The sequence below is a fragment of the Homo sapiens genome, chromosome 10 (assembly GCF_000001405.40).
Source record: "Homo sapiens chromosome 10, GRCh38.p14 Primary Assembly".
NCBI lineage: Eukaryota > Metazoa > Chordata > Mammalia > Primates > Hominidae > Homo > Homo sapiens.
Genome location: NC_000010.11, coordinates 61,405,232 through 61,423,065, shown reverse-complemented (window position 1 = coordinate 61,423,065; position 17,834 = coordinate 61,405,232). Strand labels below are relative to the sequence as shown.

Sequence of the window (17,834 nt, the reverse complement as noted above, 5' to 3'; positions counted from 1 at the left end):
ATAATATTCACTATACATGTGTTAATTTCTGTGGAGTGAGTTGTGGTACCCTCCTTTTTCATTCTTGAGTTTAGCAATTTCTGCCTTTTATCTTGTATTTTTAGGCAGTGAGGGGAGAGGCTGATGTTTACTTTTTTGGTTTGATCAGGTTTATTGGTTTTGTTGATATTTAGACATAGCCAGCCTTTGGTTTTATTGATTTTCTCTACTGTTATTCTGTTTTCCACCTCACTGGTTTCTGTTCTGATGTTTAATTTTTCCTTTATGCTTGCTTTGGATTTAATTTTCTCTTCTTTTTTTTCTAATTTCTTCAGATGGAAACTTTGATTGCTGACCTTTCATATTTTCTATTATATTTGAGACCTTTCGTCTCCTCTATTACAGACATCTGAAGTGTGAATTTTCCTGTAAGCACTGCTTTGCCTGCACCCAGAAATTTGATATGTCTTTTTTTGTTACTTAATGCAGTTCAAAATATTTTCCAATTTCTTCTGTCATTATTTTTGACATGGGTTGTTTAGAAATTGGCTGTTTAACTTCTGAATATATAGGGATCTTTTAGACTTTTTTCTGTTGTTGTTTTCTGCTTTAATTCTATTTTCTTCTGAGGATCTACTTTAAATTGTTTAAGTTTTTTTAAATTTATGGAGACTTACTTTGTGGTCTATTATATGGCCTATCTGGAGATGCATGTGTACTTGAGATGAATGTGTCTTTACTTGGTGTTGGGTGGGGTGTTCTATAAAATGTTAGTTACATCACCTTGCTTGATAGTGTTGTTCAAGTCTTCTGTATCCTTACTGATTTTGTGTCTATTTGTTCTATTGATTCCTGAAAGTAGAACACTGAAATCTTTCATTCTAATTGTTGGAATGTCTGTTTCTCTTTTAAATACTGTCAGTTTTTGCTTCATATATTTTGGGGCTCTGTATGTAGGTGTGCAAAATTGAATTGTTAACATATTTCCAATGTAGTAACATTTTATCATGAATGATCACTTTTTCTTTAGTAATATTTCTTTTCTGAAAGTCAATTTTGTCTCCTACAAATATAGGCACTCCAGCTTTCTTATGTTGGCATAGAGATATCTTTTTTTATTCTTTTACTTTCAAATTATATATATATATGTATCTACATTCTGTCCCTTATAAACAGCTTATAGTTGGATCTTGCATTTTCCTCCCCAGTTAAGTACAGTTTTTGTCTTTTGATTTAAGTGTATATTAGTTTACTAGGGCTATTATAGCAAAATACCACAAACATGGTGGCTTAAAACAACAGAAACTTCTTCTCTCACAGTTCCAGATGCTAGGAATCCAAAACCAAGATGCTGGTTCCTATTGGAGGCTCTGAAGAAGAATCTGCTTCATGCTTCTCTCCTAGTTTCTGGTGGTGGCTAGCAACTCTTGGTGTCCCTTTGTTTGTTGATATATCACTCCAGTTTCTCCCTCTTTCTTCACATGGCATTCACCCCAGTGTGTCTGTCTGTGTCTCCAAATTTTCCTTTTCTTATAAGGACAATAGTCATTGGATTAGGGCCCACCCTAATCCATATGACCTCATCTTAACTTGGTTACATCTACCAAGACCCTATTTCTAAATAAGGTCACAATCTGAGAATTGGGTAGACATGGAATTTTAAGGGACACTATTCAAGCTGGTACACTGTGTTTAGACCATTAATATTTAATGTAATTATTGATATGGTTAGATTTACAGCTGCCATTTTGCTATTTGTTTTTCTCTATGTCTCACATCCTTTTTATTTCTGTGTTACTCCTCTACTCTTTTGTTTTCTTGGTGGGAGTGGTTATATGAGCATTTTTAAGTCAATTTCTTGTTAATTTCTCCATGCATTTATTGAATTATTTTATTAGTGGATGCTCTAGGGGTTACAATATACATTTTAAAATTTCACACTCTATTATAGGGTAAAACTAACTTAATTCTGATAAAGCCTAACAATATGGCTCCATTTGGTCATAGCACTGTTGCCCCACTTGCTCCGTTACTGATAACTCTGTTTCCTCCTCTTCCTTTTTGCTGTTATTTTTATACATATATTATATCTTTGTATGTTATAAATAAAATAATCCAGTGTTATAATTGTTGTTCTATATAATCTTTTAAGGTTTTAAAAAGATATTAGAAAATATCTATATGACTGTATATTTATATGTTCTTTGAATTTCCCATACATTTATCATTTTCATGCACTTCATTTCTCCATGTGGATTTCAGTTACTATGTGGTGTAATTTCCTTTCGACCTGAAAGACTTTATTTAGTGTTTCTCCTAAGGCAAATGTGTAGTAAAAAATACTCCAAGTTTTTTTTTTTTTTAATCTGGAAATGTTCTTATTTTGCCTTCATGTTTAAAGGATAATTTTGCTATATAAAGAATTATTGGTTGACAGGTTTTTCATATATATATAATTTGAGGAAAAACATAGTTTACAGGTGTAAGAAGATCAACAAAGCCATATAATAAGTAAAAACAAAGATCCACCATTTTACATATATATACAAATATATAATTTCACTGTCTACTGGCCTTCATTGTTTCTGACCAGAGTTAGCCATTATAGTTGACCTTTGAATAACATGAGTTTGAACTGTGTGGGTCGATGTATACGCAGATTTTTAAAAAATAAAACTTACATTGGGTGTGCCTGCCTCTCTGGCCTCTCCTTTCACCTCCTCCACCTCTTCCACCTCTTCCACCCCAGAGATAGCAAGACCAACCAGCCTCTCCTGTTCTTTCTCGTTCTCAGTCAACTCAATGTGAAGATAATGAGGATGCAGACCTTTATGATGATTCACTTCCACTAATGAATAGTAAATACATTTTTTCTTCCTTATGATTTTCTAAATAACATTTTCTTTTCTCTAGCTTACTTTATTATAAAAATAAAGTGTGTAATACATATAACATACAAAATATGTGTTAATTGACTTTATGTTATTGATACGACTTCCAGTCAGCAGTACACTATTAGTAGTTAAGTTTTGGAAAAGTCAAAATTATACACAGATTTTCAACTGTGTGTGGGGAGGTCAGTTCCCTTAACTAACCCCCACTTTGCTGGAAGGTCAACTGTACTTATTTGTTGTTACTCTGTACATGATGACTCAATTTTCTCTTGATGTTTTAAAGATTTTCTTTCCTCTTTGGCTTTTAGTAGCTGAGATGTGTCTAAGTGTGGATCTTTGCTTTTACTTATTCTAGGGCTTTGTTGATCTTCTTACACCTGTAAATTATGTTTTTTTCCTCAAAATTTTCATCCATTATTTCTCTAAATATTTTCTCCTCTCTTTTCTATCTTTCTTCTTCTGGGTCTTCTGTTAAAAATATATATGACTGACTGTGTTCCACAGGTCTCTGAAGCTCTGCTGTTTTTCCTTCAATCTTTTTTTACTCTGTGTCTTTCAGATTCGATTTTTATTGATCTATCTTCTAGGTCACTGATTGTTTTTTCTGCCATCTCAAATCCAGATGTAGAGTCCAATTGTAGAGTTCATCTATTGAATTTTTCACTTCAGTTTGCATATTTTCAATTCTAGAGTTTCTATTTAACCATTTTCATAGTTTCTGTATCTTTATTTACTCACTTATTGAGTCATTGCCATGAGACTTTTCTTTAACCAATCAAACTTAGTTTTCTTTCATTCTTTGAACCTATTTATAATAGTTGCTTTGAAATATTTTTCTGCTAAATCCAATATCTGGACCTCAGTAGAGACAGTTTCTACTGACCAGTTTTTCCTCTTGATTGTAAGTTAGATATTCCTGGATTTTTTCTTTTATATATCACATACTTCCTTTGTTGAGAACTGGGCATTTTGGATAATGTATTATAACCATGTTATCTTCAGCCTCCCCCACCACTGCCACCACCTGAGGCTTCTCATTTTGTTGCATCTGTTTTCTTAATTGGAGGAATGTATCTCTCCTTGGGTTGTAGTCACTGATGTCTCAGATTTTTTAAAAATTCCTAGTTTTATTTTTAGTTCGATGTCTTAGTGGTCACACCTATGGCTATGTAGTTTTTGGTCAGTCAATAACTTGGGCAGATTGGAATCAAATACTATGAGCCCTTATGACTTCTGCTCTTTGATGATCTGTGCATGGAGTGGATAGCACATTTAGAGTTCAAGATGTTTTCATGTCTGCCTTAGCTTTTGATTCCCACTAGGCCCTCTTTGGCCTTCCCTGAACATGCCTGCAGTTTCTCAGTCAGCCAAGCCTACAGGAGTACTCATCTAGCCCTTCTATAGCTCTCACTTTAAGAATCTCTCTATTAAATTTAAAGTTAGTTCATTACCCACTCCAACTAGGACTGCAGTCTCAAAGTAGCAAGCTACAGATTTTTTAAATATTTCTAATCAAGTTTGTTACTTCTATTGACCACACCGCTGAGTGTGAGATTTCATACTCCACTCCAAAGCTGTCACTGGTAAAATTACCACTTTAACTGATCAATATGGTCTTAGCATTCCCAAAACTTGAATCAACTTAGACAGGGTTTTTTTGTTTTTTTGCTGACTATAGGTCCCTAATTTATCTTTTCATACAGCATTTACGTTAAGAAACTTGATATCATAAATTCTGTTTCTGCCCCTTTGAAATGTAAATTTCCCAGCCTCTTGCCAGTTTGCAAACCAACAATATCTTTCTCAAGGACCTGGGAGCCATCTGTTTAAAATGCAGTCTTAAAGAAAGATGGAGCCCCTGTCTCCCAGCCTCTGTGAGAGGGTAGGATCCTAACTTTGAAAAGTGCCAATTACCAAACACAAGTGGCCTAATCAAATTGACCAACCTCCATCCTAACAGTCTCCAGTACTTTTCCAGTAGGAAAAGTTTTCCTAGTTCTTGAAAACTCTGCTACTTTTTGTTTTAGCAGAGTTGAGTTTAATCTTTCTCCTGTATTGCAATAGTCTTGAATAAATTTTTCCTCATCTATTTAACTTCATTCAGTACAATTAAAAAAAAATAGCCAAGCTGGGGATAGGGGAATGAATATCTGTGGGTAAGAATGCTTCAGATTCCCACTGTTCTTACCTGAAGCTTGGCCAGCTTTTCATGAATAAATGTTACCCAATTTGTTGTTTGACTTTGGTTGATTTTCAGAGCCCTGATCGTTGTTTTTGACAATTTTTGACAATTTTTTAAGTATTATACATGTTTGTTGGGGAAAGGATTTGCTGACCTTTTCATTTCACTACAGCCACCTTCCAACATTTTCACAAGTCAGAGTTTCAACATCATTGCCACGGAGAGTTCCCTGGCCATTCACACCTTTGGAGATCACTTTGTGCAGTCTTTTTTCCCCCCAACATATTAATAGATCATGTACTAAAAAGAATTCTATTCTCACAGCATTACTAACATTTCCCTGTGAATACTTGACCATACAAAGGAGACTCTTCTTATGTTTACATTGTGTTTTATTTTTATTTTGCAGAGTTGAGGCTAATCTCTTTTTCACCTGGAAGAAATGGTGAAATATTTCTTCCAGGATAGGTTAATACTTCATTTTTTTCTTCCTTTCTATTATTTTTTCCTTTTCTGGTGGTATTTGTCATTAAAAAAAAAAAAAACTAGATGAATTCTATCCACTGATTCTGTCTTTTCTACAGGAATATTTACACTTCCAAAAACAAATAGCTAAGCACATTGGCAAAATATGACTTTTTATTTTTACTTTTAACCACCATATTGAGTGTGCTGATATACCAAATGCCAGTCTTTTATCTTACAATTTTTTTCAAATAGAAAAGTGATACTAATGTCAATAATTAAACTTCCCAAGATTTTTTTGTTTCTCTCTGAAGCAAGTCATTGTCTGCTTACATGCTTCTCAGTTGACATTTGTGAAGGCAGATTACACACATGGGACAGTGGTGAATAAATCCACCCAAAATTCCTTTACAGATCTTGAGTGTTTGCCATTAATCTCCATGATTTATTTACATTCTAACATTTAACCTTCCTGAGAATTTTTACTGTCTGATCTAATAATTCATATTTGCCTGCTTTAAAATTTTCTGATCTACTTTTCCAAAATTGTGTTTGATAATTTCACTAGTATGTTTTTCAACACCCACATTCTTCCGTATTTTGTGTGTGCATAGATAATATATACATATGCAAAAACTGTGCATTTATTATTGTATGGTTAAAGTTGGATTTATGTAGGGCTAGGGTTAGTATATCATTTATCCCTATTCTGTAGGATGGTGAATAATATACAAAGATTTTAAGAAGCATGTTGACATACTAGTAAAATTACTACTGCTACAATTATGTAATGTTTATTTATGACTTTTTGTGTGCTAAGAAGTCTTAAATGCTTTAATTTAGTAAGTTATTTTGCATTTACATCCACACTATGAAGTAAATTTTTTTATTATCCCAATTTTATAAGCAAAGACATGTCAGGCAAGGAAAATAAAGTCTCAAGGTGACATGAAACCAAAAATAACTAATTTGTAGTGATCTACCATAATAGCTTGTGTCACATGCTGTTCTAAGAGCTTTATGTGTTTAACATGTTTAAATAATATACTTAATAAAATTATTATATAATCCAGTAATTATTATTATTGTCTTCCTCATAATGTAAATGGGTAAACTAAAGCATGCAGATGTTAAACTACTTATGCATATTCATATGACTAATAACTGATCAATCTGGAATTAGAATCTCACATCCTATTTCTTTAGTGAGAGTTGGAGCTGGTGTTAGAATTCTGGTCACTTGGTACCAAAGCCCCCTGCTTTGCCACTGCTTTCTACTGCCTTGCAGGCAAATTGCACATAGTTTTTGGTAGAATTATTGAAGTTTGGGATTAGATGAAACTTCAAAAGATCTTGTGAAAAATTTCTTTTGCATCTATTGAAAAAACCTTGTGAAAATATCCTCAACAACTTTTTCTGCAGGCTCTGTTGGAAAAATTCCACTAATAGAAGACATACTAACCCCAAGTGGCAACTTGTTCTATTTTGAGGTAATATTATTAGAAACTACTTTCCTCTATTGTGATGAAATTTGAATTCTCACAGGTGCAACTGAAATCCTTTGAGCCTGAATTGGCCATCTCAAGTCAAAAGAAATGTTTCATTCCTTTTCCACATTATAGTCCTTAAACATATGAAATAAAACTTCTAAGGAATTATCTCTAGTTTTTAGTTTCTTGAACTGTCTCACATAGATCATGACTCTGAATGCTTTAGCACTCTAGTTCTCCCCCTTTGGTACAAGAAACTTTATAAATGTTTCTCCTAATATATGAAGCATCACACATAATATTTCAGGTATGTTCTGAACATTGTAGAATAGAGCAGACCTAAAAGTTTCCGTTTCATTCATGGAAATAATATAATGTAATGTCCAAAGGAGTAAATGCTGAAATCAGCTGTCTAGTTTTGATTTCTGCTCTCAACACTCATAACTACATTATTTTGGACAAATTTCCTCAACTCTCTTTTACCTCCTTGATAAAATAGAGATAACAATTGTGTCTACTTTGTTGAGCTGGTGTGAGAATTAAGTGTGATCATAGAGTTAAGCATTTAGAAAACTGCCTGGCATGAATGTCTGAAATCAGAAACTGTCCATAACATTATTTAAAAATTCAGGCACTTATTGAACATCTGTTGTGTATAGACATTGACTGTGTAAAGAGGGAAAAGCTACAGTCTGCATTCCCAAGGCATTTCCACTTAAAATTTTAGACCTTATATTTCTTGTGAAGCAACCTATGATTTTATTTGATTTTGGTAAATCATAAATCATGTCATACTGTGGACTCATAATTAGATAACAATTAGGGAAAATCTTTGAGCCCTTTTTTATGGCTGCTGCTGTGAAATGCTCTTTCTTCTATCCAATTCTATTCTAATCTAGGTCATCCAGTTACTTCTTTTGGAATCCTGATTGTGTCTTCCAGGGTACTGGTTTTCTATCCACGTTCTATGCCATATGTGCATGTGAGAAGCCTTCCATCAATGTCCACCAAGTCATGATAAAATGTGAAGTAGAAAAGAATCAAAAGCACAGCCTTCAACAACCCATTGGAGAGTCCCCCTGTGGGGAGCCATTTACACAGGAATCCACCTAACAGTATTCACACCTGGAATATTTCTTAATTTTGTTAATGAGGACACTATGGGAGACTTTTTCAGAAGCCTTGTTTAAATCTGAATGTCTGTCATCAATTTACATAACATTACCTGCTTGGTAATCCTAACTATATTTTTTAAGAGGAGGAACTAAGTTTAATTGAGTGCAATTTTTCTCAGAGGACCTGTGCTGATGCTTCGTAATAACTGTGTTCTTCTAAAAGGGCTCTCAGAAATCTTTTAAAGGATCATTTATATAATCTAACTAGAGATTAATAGTAAATGTGCCTTTTGTACTTCAAGACATATTTCTGCTTCATTTTGAAAGTTGAGACTTTATTTTTTTATCACCAACCTTGTCTCCACCATTAACTGCCAAGACAGATAATGATGGTTTAGAAATCTCATTTACAAATTCTCTCAGAGTTTTGAGATTTAATTTTGTATTTAATGCCTCTACACTTGAAGCATTTAAAGATATCCCTTACAATCACCTCATTTCTTTTGGTTTCAATTACTCCTCCTTGATGCTTTTCAGACCTCTTCAATCTGAAAATCTCTTTTGATGGAAGATGGAAACAAAATCTATTATTATGCTACCAAGCTCAAATTGATGACTTCCTTTCTATCTTTGCTAAAAATAAATGTGACCCTGTTTAATATCCTTTGCATTTCTGCAACCTCTGTTCTTTCTGATTTTAGCCTTCATGACCATTTTCCTAGGTCTAGGACATTTGTATATTTGTCTGAGTATGGACCCTTCTTTGGTGCTTTTAACCATTCCTTCCATAAATATATGTTGTATCCATCAAGCACTGTTCTAGGCACTAAGGATACAGTGGTGAATGAAATAGGCTTATTCCTTGCTTTATGTCCTACTATCTGGTATAAATCTTTGTTTATTGGATTTATCTCCTTACCTTTTTCCTATCTAATGACAATTTTATTTCAATGTTGAGTTTTTAATCTTTGATCATCATTTAGCTCTTTTGAAATGTCTTTTCAATTCGATCCCTGGTTTCTTAGAATAATTATTAATCCTCCCACTGACATTCCTTGAAATCAGCCATTTGAATATCCATGTTAATATCTATATTTTCTCCCCTATCATTTTTCTCCCATAATGTTTCCATAATTTTGTAAAACTAAAGACAGCAATATGGGACCAAGAGGCTTTGTCATAATTCATGCATATGTTGGGCTTTAAGTCTCAGATTATTTATTTTTCACTTCTTCATTATTCCATTATTATCATGTAAGGATTTTTTTCATTGATTTATTAAATCACCAAGATATTTTGGCCACAAGAGGTTTATTAGGAATATACTAAAAAACTTGACTGAGAAGACTTTTCTGCATGTGATCATACTTTTTATTACAAATTTAACATTTTGTCTGTATTCTAGGAATAGTCCTGCACTAGTCTATGCCATCCTTGTTATATGGACTTGGAGCATGCTGCAGTTTCCACTTGACCTGGCAGGTAAGTATCCTGATGTTTGTGCAAAGAAATAGAAAATTACACCTCTTGATTATTAACTATGCTAAAACTAAGAAGGCAAGTGAAAGGATTATCATGTCTGTATCCCAATATTAGTTCTAGTTCAGCTTAGAAGGAAAGTAGATTGAAACTTAGTAAGCCAAGAAGAGTGGATCCACTGTGGTACACGGTGAGCTTAAGATAGTAGAGCAGATAATTGCATAGTGTTATATTTACTTCAAATAGCAGTTCCGTCAGTTATGATTTATAAGACCTCCTGCAAACCAGGTAATACATCTGTGTCTCAGCTTTCTTTCACCCATGAAATAGGGATGATAATCATAGTCACTAGGGTTGAAGATTCTTGTCATGACTCAGTAATATACAGTTTGCTTAGCAAGTTGCTGCCATAAAAGTTTTATTTCTTATTATTTGTAAGAAGTAATTTTCATTCTTTTTTCAGACCCATGTATTAGAACTTCAGAAGACATAGGAGCAGTTAAAATTGTCCTCATTGGAGGTCCTTGGAATCCTACTGGTCTTACTTTAATAAAAACATAAACCCCTAAGATTTTGCAAGAAGTAATCTGTTTCCCAGGCATTTTATACTAGCAATAATCTAGGGCTGCATTGTTCAACAGGGGACCCACCAACCACACATCGCTCTTTAAATTGAAATTAATTAAAAATTTAAAACATTAAAATTCCAACTCCTCAGTCATACTAGCCACCTTTCAAGTGCTCAGTTGCCACAAATGGCTACCATATTGGACAGCAGTAATATGGAACACTTTTATCATCACAGAAAGTTCAGTTGAGCAGTGTTCATCTGGAGTCATCTGAAAACTTCTTGGAACCCTAGAATTTTGATTTGAGAATTCTCCTGGATGTCACTTTACTCCAAAGAAATTCTAGAAATTAATAATTATGTTTTCCTTAGCCTGACTTGTTTATTTATTACACCTTAATTGCCAGCCTCAGGATTAGAATTAATCCTTAGGACAGAGATATTTAACTTTTTCTCCATCTTTTTTGGTTCACTTTTGTAGGCTCAGAGGTCTGAGGCCATTTTAAACATAGCATCCTCTTTTTGGAATTATTAACAATTTGGAATAGATGGAAAAACTTGCTGTGGCTTTTAAGAAATGCCAAAAACGGAATCACTTATTAGTAATTACAAACAAATGTATGCTAACACACACACACACACACAGATTTTGTCATAATGTGCCCTGGAAGGTATGCTATACTCATTGGTCAAGCTGGTGTCCACTTACAGAATATTAGGTGCCATCACATTAGATACTGAATTAATACCTTTAGAAGGTCCTTTGGGAGCCATTTCCTGGCCCTCATTTCTTAGGAAAGGCTACCATTGATATAACCTTGGTTTCTCTTTTGTCTTTCACTCTGCCGATCCTCACCCTCCCATATCTTGTGGTTTATTGCCTTGCTAAGAAAATTTGTATTTAAGAAAGACATTTTGTAAACTTTCAGGGGTGATAATGTTATGCAGCTGTTTGAAAAACAAAGACCAAATGTTACTTCTGACTAAATCATTATTGTATTTTCCAACAAATAGTACATTATGTTTATCCATATCAAAGCAGCTTCATAATATTTGCAGGCTCCAGTAGACGAAGGCATTCTTTGTTTGAAAACTCCAAATGGAAGGCTTCATTATTATAAAAGGATTATTTTCTGCCCTTGACCCTGAATTAAATTTACATTTCAGAAATTAAGACAAAGGTTCTTCTGTTGATTGCACCTCCTTTTGTTTAACTGGAAAATCAGTAATTATATCCAGTCATTATTGTAAACTGTGAAACAAAGCACAAGGAATTAGGATAAAATAAAATAACAACGGCATTTATTCAGGCTTTTTCCCTCCATCATTTGAAAAATGTATTTAATATGAATTAAGTTTGAATTTGAATATAAGCACTTGAATTTTCACAGCACAATTTGCGCACACGCTTGAGTGTGTAAACCAACAAACAGGCAGATCCTAAAAAGAGTATATAGAATGATCAGAGCCACGTACACTTTGCTCCGTTTCTTAAGCTTATCATTCAAGCAAATCATTCGTGATCCTAAGGGGAAGATTGAGGGAAAAAGTGGACAGAATGCAGGGCTGTTATTCTAATGGAAACAAAATGAGCCAATGAATAGGGACCCCTCTCCTCACTGATATGATTGTTATCCCAGTTTTCAAAGGAAGAAACCGTGGCCCAGGAAGGCTTAGTGACCCCGCCAGCAACTCACTGCTGGAAAATGCGGCAGTCATGCTTCCTGACTTGAGGCCTTGAGCATGCAACTGTGAGGCTTCCTTACACTGTGGACCCCAGAATCACAATGGTGGCTTCCTTTATTTTTTATTCCCCCCATGGTGCAGCCTCAGCCTCACAAGGAGCTTGGGCTATAAGCACTTGTGACCATGACTGGCTCCTAGAATCTATTTAATTGTGCTTTGCCCAGGGTGAGAACTAGATGATCTTACATTTTCTATGTGGATGCGAGTCACAGGGCAGGGTGCTTTCACTTGTTCCACCCTGAATTAAATTACTGGATCATTCCATTTGATTTCCATCCTGTAATTAAATCACAGAATTATTACTAGCACAGTCCCCATTGTTAATGACTCGTCCCCATGGCATTGTCTTATATGTCTACACTTCCAAGAGAGATAGTAACTAGTCTGTCTTGTGTTTTCAGTACAGAACGTTGTGTGCCCTGTGTCTGTGACAGAGAGGGGATTCCCCAGCCTGTTCTTTTGCCAGTACAGTGCCGATCTGTGGAACATCGGAATCAGCGTCTTCATACAAGATGGCCCCTTCCTTGTCGTGCGTCTCATACTGATGACCTATTTCAAAGTGATCAATCAGATGCTGGTGTTCTTTGCCGCGAAGAACTTCCTCGTGGTGGTGTTGCAACTCTACCGCTTGGTGGTGCTGGCATTGGCAGTCCGTGCTTCGTTGAGAAGTCAGTCAGAAGGCCTGAAAGGAGAACATGGTTGCCGGGCACAGACCTCTGAGAGTGGGCCCTCTCAGCGGGACTGGCAGAACGAGTCTAAGGAGGGCCTGGCTATTCCTTTGCGGGGCTCCCCAGTCACCTCCGACGACTCCCACCACACCCCTTAGTTATTGATTGACAGTGGTCTGCGGCTAGAACCTGACTCCCTGGTTCTTCTTACAGGGAGGATCCTTTTTCTCCTCCAACCTTGGCGTATAATAATTTTCAAAAGAACAACATAAAAAGGTGATCTTAAACCAAAGCTGAGGAATTTTCTTTTTTCAACTGAATAGAAGGAACTTTGATTAGTGACTATTGCTACAACTTCTGTGTGATGGTATCAGATGTTATAGTTGTTCAACGACTAAGTGATTTGTTTGTCTTGAACTGTTTGAAAAGCTATGGAAGAGGTTACAGTGACATGCCCTCGAAAGATTTGGTGCAGACCAACTGTCGCGGCTGTTACCTGGAAATAGAGAAGCTTTGAACTTTGCCTCCATTGTCAGACTATTTCGTCTGATCTTTTCTGCAATGTTCCTCTGACATCAAAAAATGTACATTCAGTGAATGCAGAACAAATGAAGGGAAAAGTGCCTTTAAAATTACCTCACTGTGGGCTGGAAGAAGCGAAAATCTCTGCCCAGCTTCCGTATCATAGAGAGCCCTATTCATCGCTGCCCAGGCCTTCCCAGGAAAATCATTTTTTCTGGGCTGATGTTGTATTCTGCCATGGCGCATATGTTCTTACAGAAATTTTATTGCTTTTGTCTTGGGTGCTACAAAATTCACAGCAAGCCATTTTGGTTACATATCTACTGGTTGCAAGGCAGGAAATATTGGTGAAATGCTAGCAAAGTCACAATTTCTACTCTGAACATGATTTGCAGTGTTCATCAGTATTTTTCTGAACCCTGCTTTACCATTTTCTATATTGCCAAGTTGAATCATGTGGGCTGATGCAGGGAAGCTCTGAAGCAGTGAATAAAGGTGTTTCGGGCCCTGTAAGTGTTTCCATGGTTTCTGGTGTCTGCCAGCAGTAGTGAACAAAGCTGCAGCTTCTTTGAACCGCGACTACTGGAAGTGGCCTTTGCTCTCAGGGAACATGGTGATGGAGGGTTGCATCAGCTCCACCCATGGCCAACAGCCCTTGTTGAGTGACGGGAGTCGGAATGTGCTACCCCGTTGTGGGAATCAGGCAATTCGCTTTATTTTCTTGCATTAAGACTTCATTTTCCCAGTATTGAAATAGCCATACTTTTCCTTTACATACCTCTATACTTTCCAGATGGAGGTGATTCAGAACCTTTTAAAGTGATTTTTGCCTTTAAAGATACAGTGTGAAAATTTGCTCGGGTGTGTAGCAGTAATTACACGAGGCAAACAGTTCCAAAACTGTTCTTTTAGGTTCAAAACCTAATTCCCCCAGATTAGTATACTCGAGAATTCAAAGGGACATTTAAGGTGGGGTATGCCCTTAATTTGGTATGACTTATTGACAACCAGTTGGGACAATTTTATCTGTAACTCTCTGGGTGACATGATACCTATTCGAAACATTTTATACAAACTTTTATAGACAAATTGTGTTTTTATACAGAGTCATGCATATTTTCTCATAAATGGCTTCTTCAGTGCCATTGTTATATGTTTTTTATTTCTTTCTTCCTTGTGCTTCTAATTTTAACAATATAATGACTATAAAATGACACATGGAACTAATGGAATACATTTATGATTTTCCATAATAATTTTATGAAAGTTAAGATCAAGAAATTATATTTATATGAAGTAAATCACTTGACAACTTTTAAGGGCATGTTATTTGAAGTGCTCAGCAGTTGAAAGCAAAATAATAACTGCTATTTATAAAAATGCCTCAGCAGAATCTGTTTTTATGTTGACTGCTTTATGTTGAATATTTTCTTCCACAACATGTATGTGCTGCTTATTATTGCAGATTTGCTCATGGCATACTTTTCATGTTTTAATTTTTTTCTTCCAGCAAAATAAACACTGAGGCCCTAAAAATAGATAAAGTATAAAGTAGTACGGCTGTTGCAAGGATATTTTTAAATGCTTTCAAATCTGAGACTTGGCTTGGCTTCGTGAATGAGTTTCTAGTGTTTAAATTAAAGTATTTTGTAATTAGACTCCTCGTGGGCTTGAGAAATAAAAAGCCTGTCCAAAGTCTAGCTTTATTTAGAGGGTCAGGAAGTCAAAGAGCACCCAGGACCATCTTGGCAATTAATAGCGGCAAAAATAGACCCAGCTTCTGCAAGGTTTTCCAGGAAAATCTGCTTGGGGCAGCATTTGTTAACCTAGCTGCCAGTACTCCTACTCTCTTATACTGGCTGCTTTTATAATAGGAAAAAAAAATATGCATTTGCTTAGTTTATTTGAATAAAAGCTCTAAACCTAGGTTATATATTAGCCATTCCTAAGACTCCTGATTAAATATTACAAATTTGTTCAGTTCATAGCGTAGACTGCTAAATACTGTAATGTTTCAAAACATCCAACTGTTTGTTATAAAGTGGCTAGAACATCAATTACCTCCCATGTGTGGACATCCTGGGACTTGTTTACATTTTATCTGTAATAAGATAACTGACTCACAACACCTGTATAATGTGATGCAAGTCATCCTCTCTATCATAACCCCTCCCCCCAACACACAGTAGGTCACTCCCCAACCCCTGAAGAAAGTGGCTTATTTGAGGTTGTTGGTGCTGTTGGTATTATTGCCATAGTTGTTATTTAATTGCTTGATTAAACTCAGTCAAATATCCTTCCTAAAAACATGTCATTCCACTTGTGAAAGAAAACACAATGTGCATGTTTCAATGATACTGTGCGGAAACACACCTCATGATCATCTTGTGGGTTTCTTTTGCCCTTACTGGATGACTCTCAGAGGACATGACTTGACATAGTAACATTAGTAAACTGTCTTTATCTTTGATTATTCTTTTAATTTTTATTTGAGCTGTTTCAATAGCATAATGAAATAAAATTTTGAATTGGCCAATAACATGCTTTATAATCTTCCAGTGAAGAGTCTGATACAAATTTACTCTTGGCACTGTTGTAGTTCCACTAACAAATAGCACTTCAGACCTTATAGAACCATATAGATATGGCCAAGGAATAGCAGGATTCACTATTATAATACTAATTGTTAACTCATTATTTAATTGAACATTTCCAAAGCTCTGGAAAGGCATGCATTTGTAGGTGCACATGCTTTAAGATTTCTATCCATCTTTCAGAGTTGAATGTAATAATGTTTGGTATTTAATTCTTGATAATTCTTAACCAACTTTTCCTGTTACAGGAGAGAAAGAATTGCAAATGCCAGGCATCTGTCCACTTTAGCCCTCCTCCAATGCTAAGAAAGAGGGATGGTGACGTATACTACAGAGACGCAAATGAAACACCAAACAGTCTTGAATTACAAGAAAAAAAGGGGATTTTTTTTTTTTCTAATTTCAGACTTGGCTTTTTACTTAGAGGACATTCTGATTTGCTCTCAGAAACATCTGATTTGGGGTTAAACTAGGCGGCTGGAGGATGTTTACAGCTTTGAGGCTTCAAATAAGTTTCCATATGCAGGGAGTAACTTTAAACAATGTTTGAATAATTAACTGCTAAGTCTTATATTTTATGTGTATCTATTTCATCCTCTGTCTCTTTCTTACTAGAATACCATATAAGAATATTTTCTCTGCAGTATTTATATTTATACTATTTTGCTATGAGTGGCCTTTGTATTTTATTATATGCATTAAATAGTGTGTGCACAACTTTATCTTAATGTGGATTTTTGCTGGCTTTTCATGTCTTTGTTCTCTACTGCAATTCATTTCCTTTATGGTTTTTAAGCTCTAGTTTAAAAAATAAAACTGATCTATTTAGAATATGATTAAAGTGGCATTTCAAACCAGTGAGGAAAGGCTGACCAATTTTACAAATGATGTTGGGAAATTTTGCAATCCATCTGGAAAAAATAAAGTTAGATTTTTATCTCCTGCAATATATAGAAATAAATTCCAGATGGATTAAAGATGTAAATGTAAAATGAAAACTATAAATATTAGAAGAAAATATGCAGTCTGTCTTTAGCCTGTGGGGGATGGGAAAGATCTTCTGAAACAAGACATGAAACCCAGAAGCTACAGAAGAATTGACAGATTTTTCCTACATAAAAGCTTAACGTTTCTCAATGGCGAAAGCTATCATAAATACATCACTCTTATTTTCTTTTCTGGAGAAAGGAGTCAGAGAAATCAGACAAGAGAAATGAGAGGTATAGAAATTGGAAAGAAGGAGCCAAATGTATCATTTATTCATAGAAGATTGAGTCTTGAACATCCAAGGAAAACATATTAAACCTAAGAAACTTTTAAAAATAATCTGAAATCACACACAAAAATCGATAGCTTTTCTACATACAAAATCACATAGAATATATACTTGAGGAAGAGATTTCCTTTACAATATAAACTAAATCTATAAAATACATAGGAATAAACTTGGGAAATGTTTAAGATCTACGTGAAGAGAACTTAAAAATGATTGTGAGGGCCATACATGAATAATTTAACAAAAAGAAAGACATTATTTTATGGGGATTGGTAAGAAGCCTTGATATTTTTTTAAAAGTTTCAATTTTCCCTAAACTGATCTATAAATAGATCAAGTAGCACAATCATCATGCTTTCAACAAGATATTAATTTTTTTGTGACTGTACAAGTTGATTCTAAAGATTTCATGATAAAATAAGCATGAAAGAATAGTTAGAAAATACCAACAGAAAGTTGAAAAATGAGAGAGATATTTTAATATATTTAAATATATTATACAACTATAATAACCAAAAGGATTTGGTTGTGGAATATGAATAAGCAAGCCAAAAAGCTGAACAGAATAAATTTAATAAATAGACCGAGTTACACAAGGGATTCTGATATGTGATAAATCATGGGGTGGGGTAAAATATTATAAATGGTTTAGGTTTTGGAAAATATTAAATTGGATCCTTACCTAAATCCTTATGTCCAAAACATTTCCAGTAGAGCAAATAATTAAACATTTAAAATAAAATAAACACAGAAAACTTTGTTTTTATAACTGTGATGGTGAGAATGCTTTTTGAGCAAGATATGAGACACCATAGAAGATTCATAAATTTCAGCCCCTAAAATTAAAAATTTTAGC

At 34.8% G+C, this 17,834-nt stretch overlaps 1 protein-coding gene across 5 annotated transcripts in view, besides 2 other annotated features; it reads left to right on the top strand.

The window, feature by feature from the left end:
* Nucleotides 1-16,424, top strand: part of TMEM26 (transmembrane protein 26) — a 46,740-nt gene extending 30,316 nt beyond the window's left edge. Inside the window, exons 5-7 of one of the 5 annotated variants that reach the window (NR_134507.2) lie at nt 9,531-9,607; nt 12,320-13,617; nt 15,951-16,424. Coding sequence is in view for 3 of the 5 variants with exons in the window: in NM_178505.8 (NP_848600.2) it covers nt 9,531-9,607; nt 12,320-12,744 (502 nt within the window). In the remaining 2 variants the exon portion in view is untranslated. Of the gene's footprint in view, nt 1-6,942; nt 7,011-7,952; nt 9,608-10,067; nt 10,174-12,319 lie in introns of those variants that run through there. The other 4 variants (NR_134508.2, NM_178505.8, XM_011539450.3 and 1 more) reach the window with 4 other exon arrangements.
* Nucleotides 7,831-8,332: an enhancer, noted in NCBI's record as "NANOG hESC enhancer chr10:63174492-63174993 (GRCh37/hg19 assembly coordinates)". NCBI's record gives its function as "activates a minimal SCP1, AML or CMV promoter by ChIP-STARR-seq in primed H9 embryonic stem cells {active_cell/tissue: H9 hESC(primed)}" and the evidence as "EXISTENCE:reporter gene assay evidence [ECO:0000049][PMID:30033119]".
* Nucleotides 12,016-13,215: an enhancer, noted in NCBI's record as "CDK7 strongly-dependent group 2 enhancer chr10:63169609-63170808 (GRCh37/hg19 assembly coordinates)". NCBI's record gives its function as "activates an origin of replication core promoter dependent on BRD2, BRD4, P300/CBP, MED14 and CDK7 cofactors, with strong dependence on CDK7, by STARR-seq in HCT116 cells {active_cell/tissue: HCT116}" and the evidence as "EXISTENCE:reporter gene assay evidence [ECO:0000049][PMID:35650434]".
* Nucleotides 16,425-17,834: the final 1,410 nt, after the last annotated feature.